This window comes from Homo sapiens, chromosome 6 (genome assembly GCF_000001405.40).
Source record: "Homo sapiens chromosome 6, GRCh38.p14 Primary Assembly".
NCBI lineage: Eukaryota > Metazoa > Chordata > Mammalia > Primates > Hominidae > Homo > Homo sapiens.
The window spans coordinates 138,151,996-138,174,598 of record NC_000006.12 but is presented as its reverse complement, the minus strand read 5'-3'; the positions used below and the strand labels follow the sequence as shown (position 1 = coordinate 138,174,598).

The 22,603-nt window shown below is 40.3% G+C and overlaps 1 protein-coding gene across 2 annotated transcripts in view, besides 3 other annotated features; it reads right to left on the bottom strand.

The window, feature by feature from the left end:
- The window catches only part of ARFGEF3 (ARFGEF family member 3), a 182,725-nt gene extending 170,065 nt beyond the window's left edge, over positions 1-12,660 (bottom strand). For both annotated transcript variants that reach the window (XR_001743524.2, NM_020340.5), the window contains exons 1-2: positions 12,428-12,660; positions 3,886-3,937 (exon numbers count right to left, since the gene is read on the bottom strand). Coding sequence is in view for 1 of the 2 variants with exons in the window: in NM_020340.5 (NP_065073.3) it covers positions 3,886-3,937; positions 12,428-12,512 (137 nt within the window). In the remaining variant the exon portion in view is untranslated. The remainder of the gene's footprint in view (positions 1-3,885; positions 3,938-12,427) is intronic.
- Positions 3,483-3,652: an enhancer, noted in NCBI's record as "experimental_90516 CRE fragment used in MPRA reporter constructs". NCBI's record gives its function as "activates a minimal promoter by MPRAs in K562 erythroleukemia cells, with activity observed for the introgressed 6:138492169 variant allele {active_cell/tissue: K562}" and the evidence as "EXISTENCE:reporter gene assay evidence [ECO:0000049][PMID:34662402]".
- Positions 11,881-12,851: an enhancer, noted in NCBI's record as "OCT4-NANOG-H3K27ac-H3K4me1 hESC enhancer chr6:138482885-138483855 (GRCh37/hg19 assembly coordinates)". NCBI's record gives its function as "activates a minimal SCP1, AML or CMV promoter by ChIP-STARR-seq in naive and primed H9 embryonic stem cells {active_cell/tissue: H9 hESC(naive and primed)}" and the evidence as "EXISTENCE:reporter gene assay evidence [ECO:0000049][PMID:30033119]".
- Positions 12,558-12,787: a silencer, noted in NCBI's record as "silent region_17594". NCBI's record gives its function as "represses an Ori minimal core promoter by ATAC-STARR-seq in GM12878 lymphoblastoid cells {active_cell/tissue: GM12878}" and the evidence as "EXISTENCE:reporter gene assay evidence [ECO:0000049][PMID:35858748]".

Here is a 22,603-nt window from a genome sequence, read left to right as displayed (position 1 = left end):
TTTCCCATATATTAAATGTAAGCATAATGGAAGAAAAAATAACATATCCAAATTCTCCTCAATGAGCAGACAAATATTTACAGTGCCTGGATTTTTTTTTTTTTTTTTTTTTTTTTTTTTTTTTTTTTTAGCAGATGCTCAAATAGAAGGATGCCATGTTAAACATAATGATTTAACAGAGTAAATGCTCTCCTGGTTTAAAGTGCCTGGAAGAGGAATCAAAGGATTAAAGAAGGACTGATTTACAACACAGGGGGAAAAGCCCATTACTGTATGTCTCCTCTTTATATCATTTCCCTAATGATAACATGGAATAGTAAATCAGACTAGTATTGATTCAATCTCTTTTCTGCTCTAATTATGGCTTCTTCTTGTATCTTAGAAGAGGCTTTGAGAAGTTCCCCACTATTGTGAATCACAAACTGAAACCTCCTTAAATGTATAAAAGTCTATAATAAATTTACATTTGCTACCACATCACAATGTTTTCTGTTTTGTATATCTTCATTCTCTTCCTTCCAAATTGTTTTTAAAAAAACACCTTTGAATGCAAGGCTCACATCTGCTGTGTCTCATTCATATGGTTCAATTCTCTGTACAAGAATGCTTGATAGATCTCATTGTGCATCTGAAACATAATAATGTCCATTCTTTTGAATAGTAAGATGATGTATCTTTGTACATTAGGATAATCTTTGTCATTAGGGGAAATACTCTGAGTTGAATTTCTAATAATGGTGAAAATATGTAAAGACATGTACATATGCGTATATTCATCCATAGTCTCTCATCTGGCACCCCTCCCACCAATGTTGTGAACAGCTCCTGTAGGTGCACAAGATAGGTAGCTGGCTCTGGGGTAAAGCAAAAGATCGTTGAATAAAATAAAGCCAAATGAGTAAAAGGAGAACCAAAAATATGTCCTTGGACACATTGAAACCATATTCTCTCCAGCTCTTCTAGCCACACACATACACATGAACACTAGACAAAGAAGGTCATTATATAATGATAAAGGGATCAATTAAGCAAGAGACTATAACAATTCTAAATATATGTATGCGCCCAACAATTTTAAACATTCCCAGCCAGTGGAGCAGAAACCTCTTCTGTTGCTCCTCACACTGAACCACATACCTTTTATCACAAACCCAGAACCACAGAAAACCTCACTGCTAAGTTAAACAACACTTTGGATGAGGAAACAACCTTTAGAGCAGAGTTTATCAAACTCTTTTACTTATGTAGTCACTAAGAAAATGTTAAGATTCTGTTTTTCTCGTACTTTAAGTTAGCATTCAAATTTTTTCATCATAATTTTAATTGTGAAGGCTGTAATTCTGGAATACTTGAATTATTAAAATTTTTAATTAAAACATATCACTTTTGAAATGTATCTTGTGAATACGACAGCAAGTTGAAAAACACCTTCATCCATCAAAAAAAAAGGTGAACTCTTCTTTAACAGTAAAATAATGCTGTATTGTTATTTTTCTCCTTGAACTTATTGTATTTCCATTCCATTTTCCCCAAACATTTTTCTCCAATATATTTTAATGCTAGAAAGGCTTTTATTAACCTCCCTACTATACTTCTCTGTTAAGATAAAGTATGTTTAAAGTAATTTTTAAAATATTTCCTGTAACCATAAGGCTTTAAAATGTTCAATTGTAAGCAATCATTACTAATGCACAAAATTGGTCCAAAGAACATTAATAATTATTTATCAAAATGTCAATATGGTTAGCATGGAAAATACACTTTTATTAAAAATACATTTCTACAGAAATGGAGTTTGTTTATATTTCTCCCAGTTAGTTCATATGCCTATGAAGAAGTATTTTCTGTTGCTATATAATAAGGTAGAATTTAGCACCAATTCCATATCAATTCTTTTTTACCTTTATAGTTGTAAGCAGTAAGACACCTTGTTTACATAAATAATAAGGGAATGAAGGAGACATCATCAAAAACATATTTTCATCTATCATCTTATAGCTCCTTCAATATTGCTGAAAGCCAAGAAGTTAAAACTACATAACTTGAAAAATGATATGTTTCCCGGTCCTTATAATCACTCCCTTTACCAGTATGGACACTAGTATGTTCATAGTTCTTTGTGGGTGGAACAAGATCTCTGTACCCCAGGACAACACACTACTGTAAGACACAGGTGGGTAACAGGTGTGGTTTTCTCTGACAAGTAGGAGCAGAGTGACAGTTAAAGGTGCGGTGGAAAAGGAGACGTGGCAACGTCAGTTTTGAAGCAAATCAGTTTTAAGAAAGGAGACTTATAGAAGTTGGGGGCCAGGAAATTGACTTCTTTAAACTATCCATGCCTTCACAGCTCATAGAAAGTCCTCACATCCTCCTATGTGCTGGACATCCCAGCTGCACCACCTCTCCGCTAGACAAACATGTTGTTGCCAGACATTCTGTTCATGTATAAGCTTTGCACACACAAAAATGCACTTAGTTTAAAACATGGATTCCCTTACAATATGTAAACCTGTAGCAGTTACTACAGGAAAAGTAATGAATTTTTTAAAAAGATAGAAACATAAATTTTGTTCAATCTACTTAAAAAGAGAGAAAATATCTAATCACAGTATCCTGAGAACATAGAAACCATACTCAACAAAGGGTTATAGTCCAATATACTTTATAATCTCAAAGAAAACCCTGGAAACAGCCCAAGTGTTATTAAACAATAGGAAAACTGCTAAATGAATTATGCTACAGCCATATAATGGAAGTATATGTAACATTTTAATTTGAAGAACATATACTGGCATTAGAAAATATTCTTCATATGGTTTTGAGTAAAAAAAAATCAAGCAGGCAACAAAGTCGTGAATAAAATTTTATATTAATTTATAAAAATATATGTGTATAGAAAAAGACATTTAAGAAAATCTATTAAACTGTTATCAGTGGTTATCCTTAGGTGATGTAGTTATGGACAACTTTCTTTTTTGTTGTATTGTTCTTTCCAATTTTTCTACAGAGGCAGGCATTTCTCTCCCAGTGAGGGTTGGGGGAAGTTATAGTGGGAGGGGAAGAAGGTGGGGAAATAGGCTTCCTATCTCTGGGCTGCTACATGTGGCTGTGGACTTCACAACCAGTCAGATGATGTCCAGCCAGGGTTGCCAATCAGAGCTTAAATCCACACTACCTAGTGTAGGGGTGCATGCCCATCAGAGGGAGTGCAATTTTCTTTCTACTCCTTCACATAAGTTTTGATCATGTCTCTCCTTGACCAATTTGATCCTTTTACCATGGACTTCCATGGCTGGTTCCTTTAGGTCACTGATTTCATTCCCTCTACAGACAGGGGGAGCGAATGCAATCAGGTTCACATCATGGTAACCTCATGAAATATCCCAGCTCATGGGTGCAAGAAAGCCTTTAGTCAGCAAGTAAAATGCTATGCTATCATATGAACGTGTCCCCACCAAAAGTAAGTGTTGGAAACGTAATCCCCAATGCAACAGTATTGGGAGGTCAGGCCTAATGAGAGGTGATCTGGCCATGAGGGCTCTGCTCCATGAATGGATGAATGCTGTTATCACAGGAGTGGGGCTTTGTTAGAAAAGGGTGCATTCAGTCCCCTTCTCTCTTCTCTGTTCCACCCTCTTTTTGTCCTTCTACCTTTGGGATGACGCAGCAAGAAGGCCCTTGCTAGATGTGGCCCCTTGATCTTGGACTTCTCAGCCTCCAGAACCATGAACTAATAAATCTCTGTTCATTATAAATCACCCAGTCTGTAGTATTCTGTTATAGCAGCACAAAACAAACTAAGACACACTGTAAACCAATGTGGTTATCTGGGCCTTCAGTGGGTAATATTGACTTCTGTGATATTATACAATGTCCATCTCCTACCTCAGTACATGTGGAGGGATCTTGACAATGGTATCCAGACCACCTAGAGTTTCTGCAAAAGAAAAATTACAAAGTTAAAATAAATATTTAAACACTGAGAATATACATTGTACATGAATTTCTCTGTTAGTTTCTCTTTTCAGGAATTCCTCTAATTATAAACTAGTCAATTCTCAACTATCTGCATGCAAGTCCTTCATATTTTAAAATCCTTTTCCCTTGAGAGCCCCAGAGATTTCCCTGGACCTTGCAAACTAGGAGGGGAAAGTTAAAAGTTAGGGCACATTTCCCTAAACAGATAAAGAACGAATAGTTAAATTCCTAGTCTGAACCACTGAATCTAGTTACAACTAAGATACAATATTCTTGTAATAAAAATAAAGAAAAGCTGTTTCCTTGAAAATACTGTTTCAATATCCTTACACAATAATTCATACTTGTGAAAGACTTTCAAGTTCACAAAGCACTTACACAACATCTTATTATTCTCATACACATTTGTGACACAGTAGATTAAACTTTTTTTAAAAAATTACAGTATAGTTAGGATATTGATTGGAAGGCTCACATCCAAATCTTGTTAATCCAACCTGGATGTTCAATACTTTGCCATTGTTTGTGGATTTTTCACACTATTGCTGCCTCCAATTTTAGAGATAATGAAAAGCTCACCAGTCTCTTCCCCAAAAAACTGTACTACTTCAATCCTTCCAACTTGTCTCCAGTCTTGCAGCTGAAATTGTGTTGACCCCTTTCTTCACTCCTTGGAGTCAACAAGCCCTGTCTATCTGAACTATTTTCATTGGGGAAGGAGAAATGTCTCTTCCCACCTTGCTCAGAGATCAGAGAGAATAACAAATGTGAAATATATACATATATCAGAGACTCAAGGCTAAGAACAGGCCTGATAGGATCTGGGCTTGATATGGCCAGTGGGGCAAAAGAGTGGATTTCAGAAAGACAATTAATCAGCAAAACAGAAAGATGAGTTCAGCAGGGTTCTTGGTTCTGTGAAGACAAGGCCAATGGAGGAAGATGAAGGACTGAAGTCAATGCTTAAGATGAGACAGGATGACAAGAAAGGGAAGCCCTGAGATGCAGGTACAGGAAGCAGCTCAAAGGCCACACAGGCCAGTGCAGCCCACCAGTTAGCACAGCAGGGACTGGCACCCAGGATGAGCCGATGCTGCTCCCCAAGGAAAGGCAGTGACAGTGAACAACCAGATCAGCATGGTTTTCCCGCAGGACAGAGGGATATATAGTCAACCAAGGCTGGGTAACAGTGCCCAGCTCTATAAGGCTAAGAGCAAGCTAGAAGAAAAGGAAAAGAGAAAAGGCTGTCACACAGCAGCCACCATGAAACTACAGCTCTAAGTGCAGTGAGACTCCCAGGCACATGGGATCAGTGTGGAACCCAAGGCGAAGAGCATCCAAAGGTCAAGGAGAAAATGGCCTGCAGCTTTGCTGTAAGCACCCAGGACAGAATGGTAGCTGGGGAGAGGGCACCATGGAAGCATCAAGAAGGAAAGCAAAGAGAACCAGGTTCCACTCCCAGCTCCACTCCAGCTTGTGACACTGTGGGATGGGGGCAGGTCACTTATCCTCTGTAAGTTTCAGTTCCCTCATCTTTAGAAAGAAGACAATGACACCTTCCTCCCGGGATGCTTGTGAGGAGCTGATAGGATCATGATCATAAAGGGCCTGACACAGTCCTTAGACGCCAGTGCCAATTCCTGTCTCCCTTCTTTGATCTCTCACTAAACACTGAACCAGGTCCTGGGCTAGGGACCCAGTGGTGAGAACAGACACGATCCATGAATTCATGGAGTGCACATTCTCATTTCAAAGCATGATAAACGCCAGGAAGGAAAATACAGGGAATTAGGCAAAAGTGGAACAGGAGGTCCTACTGTGGACTGTGAGGTCAGGGCTTCCTGCTGGGGGTAATGAGACCACAAATGATTTATTTAAAGTAGATAAGGAGAGGTCACTCCGAGTGGAGGGAATAATAAGTTTGAAATGCTTGGAGAATCTCAACATCTTCCCTGACTCTGTCCTGCCACTTTGGTCCAAGCTGTCACCTTCTCTCACTTGGATGACTGTACCAGCCTCTGTTCTAGGCTTTTAGCTTTTGGGCTTGCCCCTGAAGCTGCAGTCTCTGCTTAACACAGTATCCTGAGAGACCCTGTCAAGACCCAGATGAGAGCATTTCCTCCACCCCAAATGACTCCCCATCTCATCCTTAGAGAGCCCAACAAGGACTTTCATGATCTGGTCCTCACTTCCTACTTCTCTCCCGTCGCTCCAGCCCCCTGGCTCCTTGCTCTTTCCCAAAGCCATCAGATGTTTTCCCAACTAGGAGCCTCCCTTTTAGTAAGGTTTTCCGTGAATACCCTATTTAAATGGCAACTCCCTCTTTATTCCAAGTACCTCCTATCTTCTTCACTATTTTATGTTTTCCCTTTCTTAGCTCTTATCACTCTCTTTGCTGTCATGTGTATTTTATTTATTTATCTTGATTACTGGCTGTCATCTCTCCAAGAATCTGTAAACTCTTGGATCTTTTTGCATGTTTTGCTCACCATGTTATCCCTAACACTTGGAACAGTACCTGGCACATAGTAGGTACTCACTAAATATTTGCTGAATTAATGAAGTAAGAGGGAGCACAGTGTAGCTGAGTAACTGAAAGAAGATCAGTGTGGCTGAAATTCAGAGAGCAAGGACCCCTCTCTCTCATGAGGGTCTCAGAGGGGGATGACCCTCTGTCTCATGAGGGTGGCATAGCACAAGGCTGTGGGGCAGGTAGGAGCCAGGCCATGTACGGCTGGACAGAACACACCAAGGACTTTTGTTTTTATCCTAATGGGATGCTATTCAGTGTTTTAACATGGCATGTCATGAAAAGATTGGGGTTTCCAAGGTGACACTACTTGGGAAAAAGAACTAGAGCAGACAAGGAAGGAGCAGTTAAGAGGGTGTTGCAGAAGTTCAGATAAAAAGAGAAGGCAGCTTATTCTGGAGAGCTGGCAACAGAGGTAGAAAGAAGTGAACAGGCTTGACATATATTTAGGAGGTAAAAATGAGCAGAGCTTGGGTGACGGACTAGGTAAGATGGCAAATTACAGAAATGTATCAAGGATGACTCTAGATTTCAGGTCAATGCAACTGGACAGGTGATGACATCAACTGATCATTTAGAAACACCAGAGGTGAGTGAGGTTGGGCAGTGAGGTAGAGGTGGGGAAGAACACACAGTCACTTTGAGCCTTGTTGAGCTGAGTGCCTGCAAGCCATTCAGGTGGAGATGTTCAGCAGGTAGCTAAGTTGCGGGGTGTGCGTTTCAGAGCACTGGTGTCGACTAGTGATATAAACACGGGCATCACATTCTCAGAAATGGAGCTGAAGCTGTGGGTATGTGTGTGTTCAACTCCAGAAGAGCTGGGAGTAAGAGATGAGGGCTCAAAGCTAACCCTTGAGAAACTCAAATATTTACAGCTGGGGACAGAATCTGGCACTAGCAAAGGAGACAGAATGGCTCAAGAACCAAGATGGAGCTGGTAGGGTGTGATCATAGAAGTCAAGGTAAAGCAGGTGCCCAGTTGTGTCCAGTGTCACCAGGAGGACCTCTGAGATGGGAATGAGAATGGTCTGCCAGCCGAATGGCTGTATGTTACTGTTCTTCAGTAACTGTGAGTTGGTGGGATGATGGAGGTGAAAGGCAGATGACAAAAAGATGAAGACAGAGTAGAAGGTGAGAACACAGATACAATTTCTACACTTTTTAAGAAGTTTGGCTGTGAAGTAATCACCTGTGGCTGGAAGAAAAAGCAGATGGGTAGATAGAGAGAAGGGTGCTGGTTGGATAGATGTTCCCTCTTCCCCTACTTGGCCTTCGTACCTCTAGTTTCTTTCCCCGCTCCTCCATTTTCCACATTCATTCTGTATAAGGCCCCTGATAGATATAAAATACTAAAAGTAGGGCTTGGTTGCTTCCAGCTCTCCTGTTCTGCAATTCTATTTCATCCCACCACAGCCTAGCTTGCAAGCCCCCAGGACTGCCAGTTTCTGAAGTTCTTTCTGCCTTTCCCCAAGCCAACCCTTCATCCAATTCATTCCTTTCTACTCCCTGGCCACGCCATTCCTCACTAACAAAAACAACCAACCAGATAACACTAAATAAAGAGAAGATACATACATATGCCTTATTAGTTATTCTGCAGCCATTAACACTGATTTTCAGAGAAGTGTCATGACAAAGTAGACAGAGTAGAAGAAGATGCTAAAGTTAAAAAACACATGACAATATGCCATATGCGGTATGACCTTTTGCAAAGGGAAAGACTCCAAAATGTCAACAGTGTTATCTCCGGATAGGGAGACTGAAGATTATTTTAATTTTTTCTTTATGTTGTTCCATTATTTGCAACATTCTAAAGTGAACATATATAACTCTTATAAATAGAAAAAGATGAATATTATTTAAAACTCAAACAAGTAGTTAAAGTATTGATTTACTTATTGAACATCTGCCTTCCACTATAGGTGCAGAAGCAACCAAAGAAGCATAAACGGCAGTCCCTGTGCTAAAGAGCTCACTACTCTGCTGACATGTATTGTTTTGATTGACGAGTATCCATTCCCCTGGCTTTTGAAGAAGCATCTTAATTTTACTTCCAGGAAGCCATTTTTCCCCAGCTCTGGATTTCAGTGGAACTTGTAGCCTAGGCCTAAACCAGTTATTCTACTTCATTCTTTGACTAGAGGACTGGTTCAAGGATACACTCATGAACCATCAGGACAAAGAGAACAAGGGAAACCAAGGATCAGGCAGGAGTGACTGGAGAAGTCCAGCTTTCTTGATATGGTCTAAATATGGTGATGATCACCTATCTCAAAATGATCTGAGTGAGGAATGATGCCTCTCTCCTTTGAGGGTCTCAGAGTCGGATGACCCTCTCTCCTATGGGGGTCTCAGTCTCAGTCTCTCATGAGTGTCTCAGTGGGGAGTGACCCTCTCTCTCCTGAGGGTCTAAGTAAGGGATGACCCCTCTCCCATGAGGGTCTCAGAGGAAAATGACCCCTCTCTCCCATGAGGGTCTCAGTGGGGAATGACTCCTCCCTCCCATAAGGGTCTCAGTCTCAGTGAGGGATGACCCCTCTCTCTCATGAGGGTCTCAGAGGGAGATGCCCCTCTCCCCCATGTGGGTCTCAGAGGGGGATGACCCCCTCTCTCCCATGAGGGTCTCAGTGGGGAATGACCCTCTCTCCCATGAGCGTCTAAGTGAGGATGACCCCTCTCTCCCATGATGGTCTAAGTAGGGGATGACCCCTTGCTCCTATGAGGGTCTCAGAGGGGGATGATCCCTGTCTCTCACAAGGGTCTCAGTGTCGGATGCCCCTCTCTCTTATGAGGGTCTAAATCAAGGATGATCTCTCTCCCATGAGGGTCTCAGAGGGGGATATCCCCTCTCTCCCATGAGGGTCTAAGTGGGGGATGACCCCTGTCTCGCACAATGGTCTCAGAGGGGGATGCCCTCTCTCTCTCATGAGGGTCTCAGACGGGGATGCCCCCTCTCTCTCATGAGGGTCTCAGAGGGGGATGACCTCTCTCTCCTAGGAGGGTCTCAGTGGGGGATGCTTCCTCTCTCCCATGAGGGTCTAAGTGAGGATGACCCCTCTCTCCCATGATGGTCTAAGTAGGGGATGGCCCCTTGCTCCTATGAGGGTCTAAGTGGGGGATGACCCCTCTCTCATGAGGGTCTACGTGAGAGGTAACCCCCCTTTCCCATGATGACCTAAGTAGCGGTTGACCTCCCCATCACATGATGGTCTAAGTGGGGGATGAGACGTGTTTTCCTGAGATGGTCTAAGTTTATTGTTGCCTCTTTTCATGAGATGGTCTAAATGTGTTGATTCATGAGCCCAAAACTGTGGAGACCCACGCAGAGCATGTCAGTCAACCCACAAAGAGCAGGACAAGATCCCTGAAACAGTGTCTAATTCCTAAATCACAGCTATTCTTGTAAGGGGTATTTTAGTTAAAGGAGTAAATAAATCCCGTTTTGTATAGCTCAGCTTAAACTAGCTTTTTTGTCTCTTGCACCCAACATATTTGTCAATTACACTGCCCGTAAGAGCCTACCTGTGCACACAATCAACTATTATCCAAAATAGTAGGTACTCTAAGAGAGTCATCAAGGCAAGGATCTGAACCCAGACAAACAACTTATCCTATTGAGGAGCTCAGGGAATGTTTCCTAAACAAGATGGACCTTGCCAAGTCTGAAAAGGGAATTCCCTACAGAAGGACTAGCAAGAGCAAAGGCAAAGAGAGAAGTGTGCCACACAGCATGTTCAACAAAGTGCTGCAGCTGACTGCCACTAGATTGTTGAATCTTGGTTGGGGAGTGACAAGAACAGAGGCTGGGGCTAGATTCTGAAGAGCATTCTGAGGAATTTACACATTAATCTAGAAATAAATTGGGGGGTTGAAGAGTGACAGGTGTTTTGTAATCTAAACAGTGACGGGCAGTGGAAATGGACTGGAGTGGGAAAGGCAACAGGAAAACCTATCCCTATAGGCCTTTGTTCATGTCTCCAGCATGCCCTTCTAACAAATTCCTTACAGGGAACATTTTATTCATCCATATATCCCATTGCTCATTACCAGGGAGGTCTTAATAAATGTTTCCTAAATAAAGAAGCGACGGAAAGAAGGAACCCATAGCTTCCCCATTCTTCAAGTGAAATCTACTTCAAAAGCCCCACCAGCTCACACCAATTCTCCCCCAATCCATGGACAACACATTTATCCTCCCTTCTTTGACTTGTTTTCCTGGTTTGCCCAATCCAACTGCACAATGAATGCCCTGCACTATTATTTAACTATTTCATGCACTTCTGTCTTGTCTTGCTAATGACAGAACAATCACTGGGAAAGGAAGTACATCCACTCAGGCTGGTTTCTTTCAGATTTGACTCGAAAAATTTACCTGCCTCAATGCTCAGCCTCCCCAGTGGCTTTAAAGGACCTAAACTCAGCAACGTTGTGGTTTCACTTAATAAGATGTTGATGTCAGTATTTAAACTTATTAAAATACTAGATTAATCTCCTCCTCCCTGTTTATCTAAATCTGCTTAATTTGCAGCAAAATAATAACGAATACTAGGAATGGCATGTTTAAAGCACAATTGGGCCCTGCTTTATCATGTTACCCAGCCATCTGTGACCCTTCATTAGAGGCATTTTGGAATCTAGCTTCGAATCACGCTGCTGAATGACAATGGCAACGGCAAAAATAGTACTGTGGCTTTAAGAGCCTTGCTGTTCTCTCAGATTTCTGGTCCATTTTTCTTTAACAGTAAGCTAGAATGGTCAAGTGCTGGTTCTACCTACAAGACAAACTTCCTAGACAATATTCTAGACAATTTTGTGATGATAGGCACAGGTTTAAAAAAAGATGCTGCTATAATTACCTGTACACACACCCAAACATATGTGAATTAAGACCATCTACATATTAAGAGTCACCTAAACCACTCTCAAAATTTTACATTTAGTGGAAAACCTGCTAAAGGCTCTTCTCTATCTCAGGCTGCATCAAAGCACACACAGTGTCATGACAGACAGTGATGGTTCTTGGTTGCAAGGGAAAGGGAGTCAATTTCATTTTTCAATTGAGTGGCAACTGAGGCATCACATCAGGCTCCAGCAAGGCAGAGAGAGGAGCCCATAGAGCTAGCTGCGCTGGCTTCTTCTTGGCCTTTCCTTTCTAAAAAGCATCACCATCACCCAAAGTATGCTTCTGATCTATTTGCATTACCATCCTGACCATTTTGATTGCCCAAACCCCGCCTAACTGAAATGTCTTTCCGTTTTTTTCCGCTGCTGAGTTCTGCAACCTGAGTCTGATGAGAAACACAAATTTGCTCCCTGGAACTTACTTCAACGCTAGCACAGCTCACAGCCCTAAAATCCCACCTGTCTGAAGGGCAGACCACAACAGAATTGCAGAGGTAACATGATCCCCGCCCGTATGTTATTTTTCATGTGCAATAACCAGGAAAGCTAACACTAAGCAAGCTGACCTCTATCAGGAAAATCAAATTAAACAAGCCTTTCCTTCCTGGTTCCACTCGCCAAGGATTCGACATCGGGGTTGTTGGTTTAACTTCCCTTTTCCCCAGAGGCGCTTCGCTGTCAGGCCCCAGGATTCGCACCGGCTCCGGGTCCTGCCTAACTCGGCGATGGGGAAGCATCGTCCCCAGCGCCGGGACCAGGAGAAGGGGGCCGCCAGGCAGGGAGGACAGCGGTTCCCGAGGAAGGTTTCGGAGAGTGAAAGAGACCGGAGGGGAGGCGGCTGATGTCCACGCCCGAGCCAAGACTCTCAAATCCCACATCAATTTCCCGAGGCGACTCTCGCAATCGCCAGAACGGCACCCATGACCGACGCTCCGCGAAAGCCCCACGCGCGGAGGCGCGGGTTCAGCCCCGGCCGCGCGGCCCTCCCGCCGCGGCGAGCAGGTGCCGGACGCTTACCCAGGGCCCAGGTGCAGCTCTCCTTGATGGCTTTGTACTTGCTCCCGGACGCCTCCTTCTGCAGCTTCCTCAGGATTTCTTCCATCTTGACCTTCCAGGCGCCGGGCCGCCGCCCACAGGGAGAGAAGCGCGGGCGAGCCGGGCCGGGGAAGCCGCCGCTGCCTGGCCCTGGGCGCCTAGGCGGCCGCCGCGCGCGCCCCCATGCCGCCCCGGCGCGGATGCTGATGAATCACGCCCGCTCCATGCCGCGGGCCACGTCAGCCCCGCGCCCCGCCCGCCGCCCCGCCCCGCCCGCCTGGGTCAGGTGCGCTCCGCTCGGCGGCGGCTGCGGGCTGGGGCCGGAGAGTGAGGCTGGAGGCCGCTGACCTGACCGCCGAGGCAGGCCCCGCGGGCGCCGCGCTTAGCGGAAAGGTGGGGACGGATGTCCGGAGCTGGCTCGCCAGCCGCCGGGAGGGAGCGCCTGGTCCGCGGCGGGCGGCGGGAGGCAGGCGGGGAGGGGCCTCGCCGCGGTCTTCGCACCCCCTGAGCCGACGGTGGCCGCGGGCGGAGTCGGAGCGGCCCAGCCCGGACACCGGGACCCCCAGCGTGGTGCAGGCGCCGCGCCCGCTGCATCCCGTCGTCTGCTAACCGGAAAATTCTTGCGTTCAGTCACTAACAGCTTTTTTGGGCCACTCCCTGTGCCAGGCTCGGGCGATGCAGCGTTGCACACACTGTGCCCCTGCCTGCAGGGAAACTCCAGTCAAGCTTTCAACACGCGGCGGGCGGTGGGCTGCGGTGGGGCTGGGGTAGAGCTTGATATGCCCAAGGAAACCAGGCCCAGAGAGGCTGGGTTACTTCCCAGACCAACAAGAGTTAGACTCCAAACACGTCCTGAATCCAAAGCCCCTTCTAAAAACCCCTATCTCCTCCCCTTCCCATCCTCTCTTGCGCTGAATTGCTGCCCTGTGAAAAATGTGGTGCACAAGGGCCGCCGCAGCAGAGGGCTTCTCATTGGGGTGAAAAGGGGGAGCCCCAGGAGACTCACGCGGGCGGTGGGGAAGGCAGTGTGACAGGGCACCCCGTGTTTCCTTTTTCTTTGAAAATGTTCCTGTGGTGGAAGTGAGGATGATGGACTGCAGAGGGGCAGACTGGCAGCTGGGAGAACAAAGGTTCTGCAGGAATCTAGAAACCAATTAGGCCAAGGGTGGGTAGAAGGGGAATAAAGGAAAGTATGTCAAGAGATATTGAAGGGTAGAAACAATAGGATTTAATGACACAATAGGGGAGAGACGGTGTATATGGGATGGCTTCCAGGTTACTTGTTTAGGAAATTGGGAGGATGGTGGCCCCATTCTTTAAAGAAGAGAAGATAAAAAGGGTTTGGATTAGGGGGGATATATGAGTTCAGTTTTGAACATGTTCAGATTGAAATGATAATGAGATACTTGTAGATTTTTTTTATGGACAGGAACTCAGGATAGAGCTCTGGGAGGGATGCCAGTATTTGAAGGGTGGTAAATATAGGAGTTGTTGATGCCTCGAGTTTGACAAAGGTTGCACAAGAGAGGGAGTGACGGCCCCCCTAATTCTCAAATCATGGGTACAGGAGCAAGGGCCCAGGGAGGAGGCTGAGAGGAGCAGTCCGAAATCCGAGGTGTAGGGGGTCAGCCAGGGGAGGGACTGCCATTGGAGGGTGTCCAACACATGGGGATGTCAGACTACTCCTTCGGCGCTCTTGGTACTGAGGAGGCAAAACCTACAAAGTCCCAGCCCCCAAGGATGCTTCTACCGCTACCCTCACGCCCAGTGAAGCCATCATTTAAAGAAAGGTTTAAAAAAAAAAAAGTAAAAACGCCGCAGCAGATAATGTACTTGGGTTAAAGAAAATTGTTAACTATTTGGAAAAATATATAGATCACAACTTTATATCGTGTAGCAAAATAAATTACAAATGTATTAAAAATTAAATTTAAGAATTAAATGATGAAAAGTTTAGAAGAAAGCATAAGTGAATATACTTATCTTAATGCATTAAGATTATTTCTAACAAACTAAGGCAGAAACTGAAGGAAAAAAGGTCAATAGATTTGACTATTTGAATATTTAAGACCTTTATGCCAAAAGTTTCATACAAAATTAAAAAGCAAATGATACTCTGAGGGATGGATTGAAGGAAGAAAAGATGATACCTCTAAATCTTAATTATATGTGGATTTATATTTTTGAATCTATTTTAAAGTATTTACTAGTTTTACAATTAAAAACAATTTCGTTTAAGCTGCAAACTAGGAAAATGTTTATATTAATGTCAGACATATAAAGTTTGAATAGCTTTGTTAAAAAAAAAAAGCTTTAACAAAGAATTAAAAAACAAATGCTCCTTCTTTTTTAAAAAAGCCAATATATATAAAGTCAGTTTACAGAGGAGAGAATACATATGACCCCATAAACTTATAAAAAATGTTCAAGTGCCTAATAAAGAGAACAAACTTTTAAATAAGATGCTATTTTCTATTAATCAAATTGACTGAGAGATTTTTTAAATGTTATTGAAGGAGCTGAACAACAAGGTCCTCTCATGTCTTGGGTGCTGGTCAGAGTGTAACTTGGTACTACATTCCTGGAGGGAGGGAGCCTGGATGTGTATGTGGCATAGGTATAGCTTTGACCTAACAATTCCACTTCTGGGAATTCATCCTAAGAAAGTGATTATGGAAATGGATAAGGATCTTTCTACAAGCATTTCAGTGTGTCTTTCAATTCTAAAAAAAGAGAAAACTAAATATGCAACAAGGATATGGATAGATAACCCATGATATATTCATAAAGCATCATATTATATAGCCTTTGAGAATAATGTGGGGGACTAGGCATGTTGGCTCATGCCTGTAATCCCAGCACTTTCGGAGGCTGAGGCAGGCAGATTGGTTCAGCCGAGGAGTTTGAGAGCAGCCTGGGCAACATGGCAAGACCTCATCTCTACTAAAAAAAAAAATTGTTTTTAATTTAAAAAGAATAATGTGGGAGAGAAATATTGAATAATATGAAAAGTGGTGTCGGGGGCAGTGGCTCACACCTGTAATCCCAGCACTTTGAGATGCCAAGGCAGGTGGATCGCCTGAGGTCAGGAGTTGGAGACCAGCCTGGCCAACATGGTGAGAACCCCCCTGCCTCTACTAAAAATACAAAAATTAGCCGGGTGTGGTGGCACATGCCTGTAATCCCAGCTACTCAAGAGGCTGAGGCACAAGAAGTGCTTGAACCCTGAGGCAGAGGTTGCAGTGAGCTGAGATCTCGCCACTGCGCTCCAGCCTGGGCGACAGAGCAAGACACTGTCTCAAAAAAAAAAAAAAAAAAAAAAAAAAAAAAAAAAAGACAGAGAAAGAAAAAAAAAAAGAAAAGTGGCTTATACTATATACTTAAGTAAGCAAATTGTAAAATGCTATGTACTTTTGTATACTACATGATTCCAATTTTATTTAAATATTTGATGTAGATGTATATATAAGTTCAAAAATACATGCATATATGTACATACATATCTATCAAAAGTACATACAAAATATTAAGTGATTATCTTTGATGGGCTTATAGGTGAGTTTATTTTTCATTAAATATTTTTACTTTTATAATCAGAAGTGTTATTCTAAAAAAAAAAGTGGCACAAAAATGAAATAAAAGTAGTATCCAGGCAACAAGGTCAACATCCAGAGAAAGGACAAAGATAAACACAGAAAATGATGTAATGAATGTGAGAGAGTTAGGATCCCGTGGAAGCCAGACCCGGGAGAAATGATGACTGCAGCCTGGTTGCAGTGGATTAAGAGCTGGTGAAATCACACGGATAAACAACCCAGTGGATGGCTATGAAGGAAAGTAAACACCTTTCTACTTTTTTTCTATAACTCACAGTAGAAAATATGCTTTACATTATCATCCAGTGTTTACATACATGTATAGATATGTTAAAAAACTGAAACAACAGTTTTAGGTATAAAACAGTACATACTGTTAACTAGAATAGTTACTACTAAGCATGATTTCATTCACTGCAGCAGGCATACTTGCCTGTTCCTAAATTCATTCTGGGTTGCGGGCATGAGGACAATCACAGTGGTTTGCTCTGTGATGCCTATTTCTTTCCAATGTTTTTAGTTTTGTTGCTTAAAAATTCTGGCTCACACAAATAAGTTGCTGTGAATGCTATTAATAACAACAGTGAACTCTGTTTAGCAATGGAAAGTCTTCTTTAATCTTAATCTAAAATGGCTATAAACTTATAATCATTCTTCAATGTATTAAAGTATTAGAGATTAGCTTTCTTCTTTGAGTATCAACTTTAATATGGATTCAGGATTTTGGAAAACAGATCTTTTATCAATTTTTTCCTCAATATTTCAAATTTCTCTTTTTGAAATTATTAAAGTTTATAACAGAGACGTAATATAACTAATATCATTTTTCTATTCAAAATGTCTTCATTAATTTTCTCTTTATGTGTTACAAAATTGTGCACACATAGTAACCACAGTGATTACTTAAAATGTATTGGTTAGTGTTGGATATATTAAACATCTTGAAATATATTGTTACTTTTTCCCTGTAGATCCAAATTCAGTTAGTTTAAAATGTCAAAAAAATTAGTCCTATATGCAGATTCTTCTGGTGAAATATCATCTTCAAAATGCCAAATGAGATTGCTTTTCAAATAGGAAAATATGAATCCTGTTCCTGAGTTCATATAATTTAATGAGTACTTTCCTCGTAACAATCAATAACTTCAGTACGATGCAACATGTACATGTTATTTGATGGAAAGGCTAAGTTGTTTTAACAAAGACCCAACAATACAGTGGTTTACAAAGCATAGACACTTACTTCTCTCTTCAATTAAACCCTGAGTCAGTGGTTGAGGTTGGTGCAGCAGGTCCCAGGAGATTAAGTGACCATATACCTTAAATGTTACTGTTTCCTCATCCCATAGGGGGTTGTTCTCATTTGTGTGTCTCAAAGATATGTACCAGGCACATTGTGTTCTAGCCCATAGGAAGAGGAAAAGAGAGTAGAGGAGTCCATGCCTCAGAGGCAGAAGTTACACAAATCTCATATATTGCATTGGTGAAGACAGAGTTGCAGAGATATACCTGAGTAATCACAGCTCTCTTCCTATGGCATAGGGAGGGGAATCATTAGCCACAGATCCAATTTCTGAACAAAACATATCAAAAATTGAAGGTTCCCTTAATAAAATTAAACAACTATCGTTACTTTTGTTTTCAAGTCCAAAAGATTTAGTGCAATTGTTAGGATGCAAAATCTTTGTAATGTATAAAACACAGATTTTAAATAATGTACAGAGTAGCTTCTAACAATATTTTAAATTATCTTTCCATGTCTCCTGGTCGTATTTACTTCTGAATCACTCACAATTCCGTTACAATTTTCCAGTTGAACTTATGTTTCTCAAGTAGTTTTGTGTTAGGTTAAATGGAAACAACACAATAAATCCTTTATAAAAATCATATTTTCATACATATTTGGCATAAACTAAAGTCTAAGTAATGTGAAATATTAGTGTTCTCATTAAGTGGAATTATACAACCTGTGTCTGCCTGTATGTGCCTAATAAGTATAAATTCTATTCTGTATATTCTTTAGAACTATAATATGACTTAGAAGTATAATTTTAAATTTCTCTGCTGATTTATCAAGAATCATATTCACTATAACCATGTATGCTGAGAACAACTTTTTTAGGAGCTGTTTAATTTTTTTCCTTTTGCTGCATACATGTGACTAATTATGATAGTAATGCTTTTTCATTAAAACCAATGTGAAATCATGTTGACAAATTTACATCTTTTTTTCTTTGAAAATATTTGAAGGCCTTATGAACAAATTTGGCTTGCTATATTTCAAGTGATTTTTTTGGAAGATCTTAAGCTTTTATTTACAAGAATGTCATTACAAATAATACATTTTCAGTGAGTTTTGAGTAATCGACAAGCTATACTTTATCATTATTAAAATGATTTGCACTTCTTTGGCTTATAGTTCAAATAATAGAATTTATTAATTTAAAAAGACATTTTTCTTAATGTTGTCACTATGTACATGTCCAAATCTGGTAGTTCTGCCAGAACATGCCTCTGTGTTTTTCACACGACTGTTTTTATTTCTTCTAATAATAAAATAAACTGTGTTAAGGATAGTTGGTATAACTTTGATTAAAATGTACAATTATCACAAGGTTGAAAAATGCCTGACAGTTATGCCTAATTCAAAAAGCACACTGAAATCTTCTAACTCATAGCCAAACCTTGGTGGAAAGTCTTCCTGCCTTTGCCAAGACTAGATAAAGTTCTTCTAAACCTCACTTTATAATTAGCTATAAATTACATTGACATAAAATGAAACTATAAAACATGAACTCTCCTGATACAATTATGATCAATTCCAAAAAATCAGCTGAGACACCAGTGAGCAGAAGAGTGACTGGCTGGCAGTTCCCAGCCAATGCATATATTCATTACCTCTCATTCTCCAGCTGTCACTCAACTCAGTTGTCTGCAGGATTTGTGGCAATGTGGACACCTCCTGCTAGGAATATACGTGTTGCATTCTGATATTGTAGGTTCCATACTAATTCATTTCTTAATATATTTTTATGAAACAGACTCATTAATTTCACAACCCACTCATGGGGAGAAGCATGAAATTTGGAAAACACCAGACCAGAGGAAAATTTGTGATTAAACAGCCTAGTGGTGGGGAGTATATTTATACAGTGAAAGAAAAAAAGACATAAAAGCAGGGTTGAAAAAAGGCAGGAGGATGCCAGCCTAATGGGGGAAACAAGTATGCTAAGAAGATGGGAAAGAGGGTACCTAGAGTATAGACAGAGTCATTGCCCAGTTAGGGGATGAAGGCCAATTTACGGATATGAGTGGGGCATGAAGATAGAAAGCTGATTTTTTATATTGTTTAGTTGTTGATGTAGAGACAGGAATTTGTGGGAGCTACACCTGGTGACTTCTGTTTTGCTTATGAAACAAGAAGACATATGCTGAATGTAAGAGGAGAAATGAACAGGTAGAGGACCCAAAATTCGAAAATAAGAAAGAGAGCTGACTAAGGATGTGTAGAAGGCTTCTATGAAGTGTGGAGGACCCAGGTAGTTCCCCATTTGTGAATGCTTGGGAAGCAGTCTCAATCCCACAAAATTTTCATATCTGATAATATCTACTGAATTTGCCATTGCTTCAGATCTTGACCACCTAGGTTCATGATGCTAAATCTGTACTTCCAGCTCAAATCTCTGTTATGCTTGTTTTACCTGATATTCAAATCGTCAATCTTTTCACTTACTCTAATGCTTGATTCACAGAATACAGTAGTAAAGAAACTTGTTTGCAATATAAAATTATACCCAAATATGCAGCAGTATAATCAGAAAATAAAATAAGCATATTTTTGGATTACATTCAATTTTGAATTAAATTTAGATGAGTGAAAAAGTATTTAATTTGAATATGGTTTATACAACTATTTATGATCAGCATTTTTAAAAGATTATATTTAATACTTTTAAGTAACTTCTATAAAATATTGTATACCTTTCTTCAAGGAAAAATTTTAAATACCCACAAAACAGGTAATACTAAAAATTATTCACATTAAAAATTATCTCTTTACTTACAAAATAATTTCCTATTTTAGCAATAATTAATATGCCCTTAAATATGAGACAATTGGACTTTTGCTTCTGGCTATGATACAGCAGCTTGTATCAGAACCACTTACTGTTGAAAGCAGTTATAAATCTGGATTAAAAAATTAAGAGGAGCTGTTTGAAGGCATCTAAACAACCAGGGCAGCCAGGACTTGAAGGAACAAGATCTTAGAGAGACAGAGAATGTACAGAAGTGAGCCTGATGTTATTTGCTACTTTCTTTCTTTGAAGCATTTGCTAGTTCACTTCATAGTGCACAGAAGTCAAGCTAAATATGGTGACCTAGAGATATTTGGGAAGACAAAAATTGGAGTAAGACAATTAGAATTGAGGAACTAAGGTGACGGGGAAAAGGAAATCACAACAGTAGTAAGGCTATATAAAATTATACATAACATTATAAACAATAACCTCACAATGCCTGCCACCTGCTTGTTAATAAAATTTAAATGTTTTGATAGCCATATCTGTATATGTAGACGTATATGTATTTGTACATATGGTAACTTTTATATAAATGATGTAAATGGTCTTATACATTCTGCTTCCTTTCACTCTATGGTTTGTCACAGGCAATTTTTCCTTTTAAATGGCTGCTTATTATTCTGTTGTATAACTCTAGAAAACTATTTAATCCATCTATATTGTTGGATTCCAGCTTTTACTATTATAAACAAGACTTCAGTAAACATTGCTGTGGTTATTGTATTACCTACCTATTAGAATATATTCCTAGAGTAAACTCCTAGAAGGGGGAAGTGCTGAGTCAAAAAGGATGCACGCTATGAGGCCACATTACCAAAACCAGACAAGGACACAACAAAAAAGAAAACTACAGGCCAATATCCTTGATGAACACATGTGCAAAAACCCTCCATGTAATACTAGCAAACCAAATCCAACAGCACATCAAAAAGATTATATATCATGATCAAGTGGGATTTATCCCAGTCATGCAAGGATGGTTCAACATATGCAAATGATTGTGTGATACATCACATTAACAGAATGAAGAACAAAATCCATATGATCACTTCAATAGATGCAGAAAAAATATTTGATAAAATTCAACATTCCTTCATGATAAAAACTCTTAACAAATTAGGTATAGAAGAAACATACCTCAATAAAACAAGGGCCATAAATTACAAACCCACAGCTAACATCACATTGAATGGGGGAAAACTTGAAAGCTTTTCCTCTAAGAACTGGAACAAGACAAGGATGCCCATTTTCACCACTTTTATTCAACATGGTACTAGAAATCCTAGCTAGAGCAATTAGGCCAGAGAAAGAAATAAACAGCATCCAAATTGAAAAAGAAGTCAGATTATCACTATTTGCAAATAACATGATTTTATATATAAAAATACCTAAATACTTTACAAAAAAACTTTCAGAACTGATAAATGAATTCAACAAATTTGCAGAATACAAAACAAACATACAATAATCAATAGCACTCTTGTACACTAATAATAAACTAGCTGAAAAAGAAATCAAGAAAGCAACCCCCTTTACAATAGCTGCCAAAAATATTTAAATACCTAGGAATAAATTTAACCAAGGAGGCATAAGATCTTTACAATAAAATCTGTAAAACACTGATTAAAGAAATTGATGAAGACACAAACAAATGGAAAGACATCCCATGTTCATAGATTGGAAGAATGGATATTGTCAAAGTGACCATATTACCCAGAACAATCTACAGATTTAATGCAATCTCTATCAAGATACAAATGATATTCTTTGAAGAAATAGAAAAAAATTCTGAAATTTGTATAGAACCACAAAAGACTCACAATAGCCAAAACAATGCTGACCAAAAAGAACAAAACTGGAGGCATCATGCTACCTGATTCAAAACATATTACAAAGCTGTAGTAACCAAAACAGCATAGCACTGGTATAAAAACACACACATAGACCAATGGAACAAAATAGAGAACCCAGAAATAAATCCAGATATTCACAGCCAACTGATTTTTGACAAAGGTTCCAAGAACACACACTGGGGAAAGCACATCCTCTTTAATGAATGGTGCTGGGAAAACAGAATATCCATATGAAGAAGAATGAAACTAGATCCCTGTTTCTCCACTTGATCTTAGCCAAAAGGCTGAGAAGCAATTAGATCCCTATTTCTCACCATATACGTAAATCAACTCAAAATGGATTAAAGACTTAAATGTAAAACTCAAAACTGTAAAACTACTAGAAGATAACATAGAGGAAACGATTTGGGCAAAGATTTTATGGGTAAGACTTCAAAAGCATAGTCAACAAATGCAAAAATATACAAATGGGATTATATAAAACTAAAAAGCTTCCGCATAGCAAAGGAAACAACTAACAGAGTGAAGAGACAACCTGTGGAATGGGAGAAGATATTTGCAAACTATTCATCTGACAAGAGATTCAGAATATATGAGAAACTCAACAGCAGAAAAAGATCTGATTTA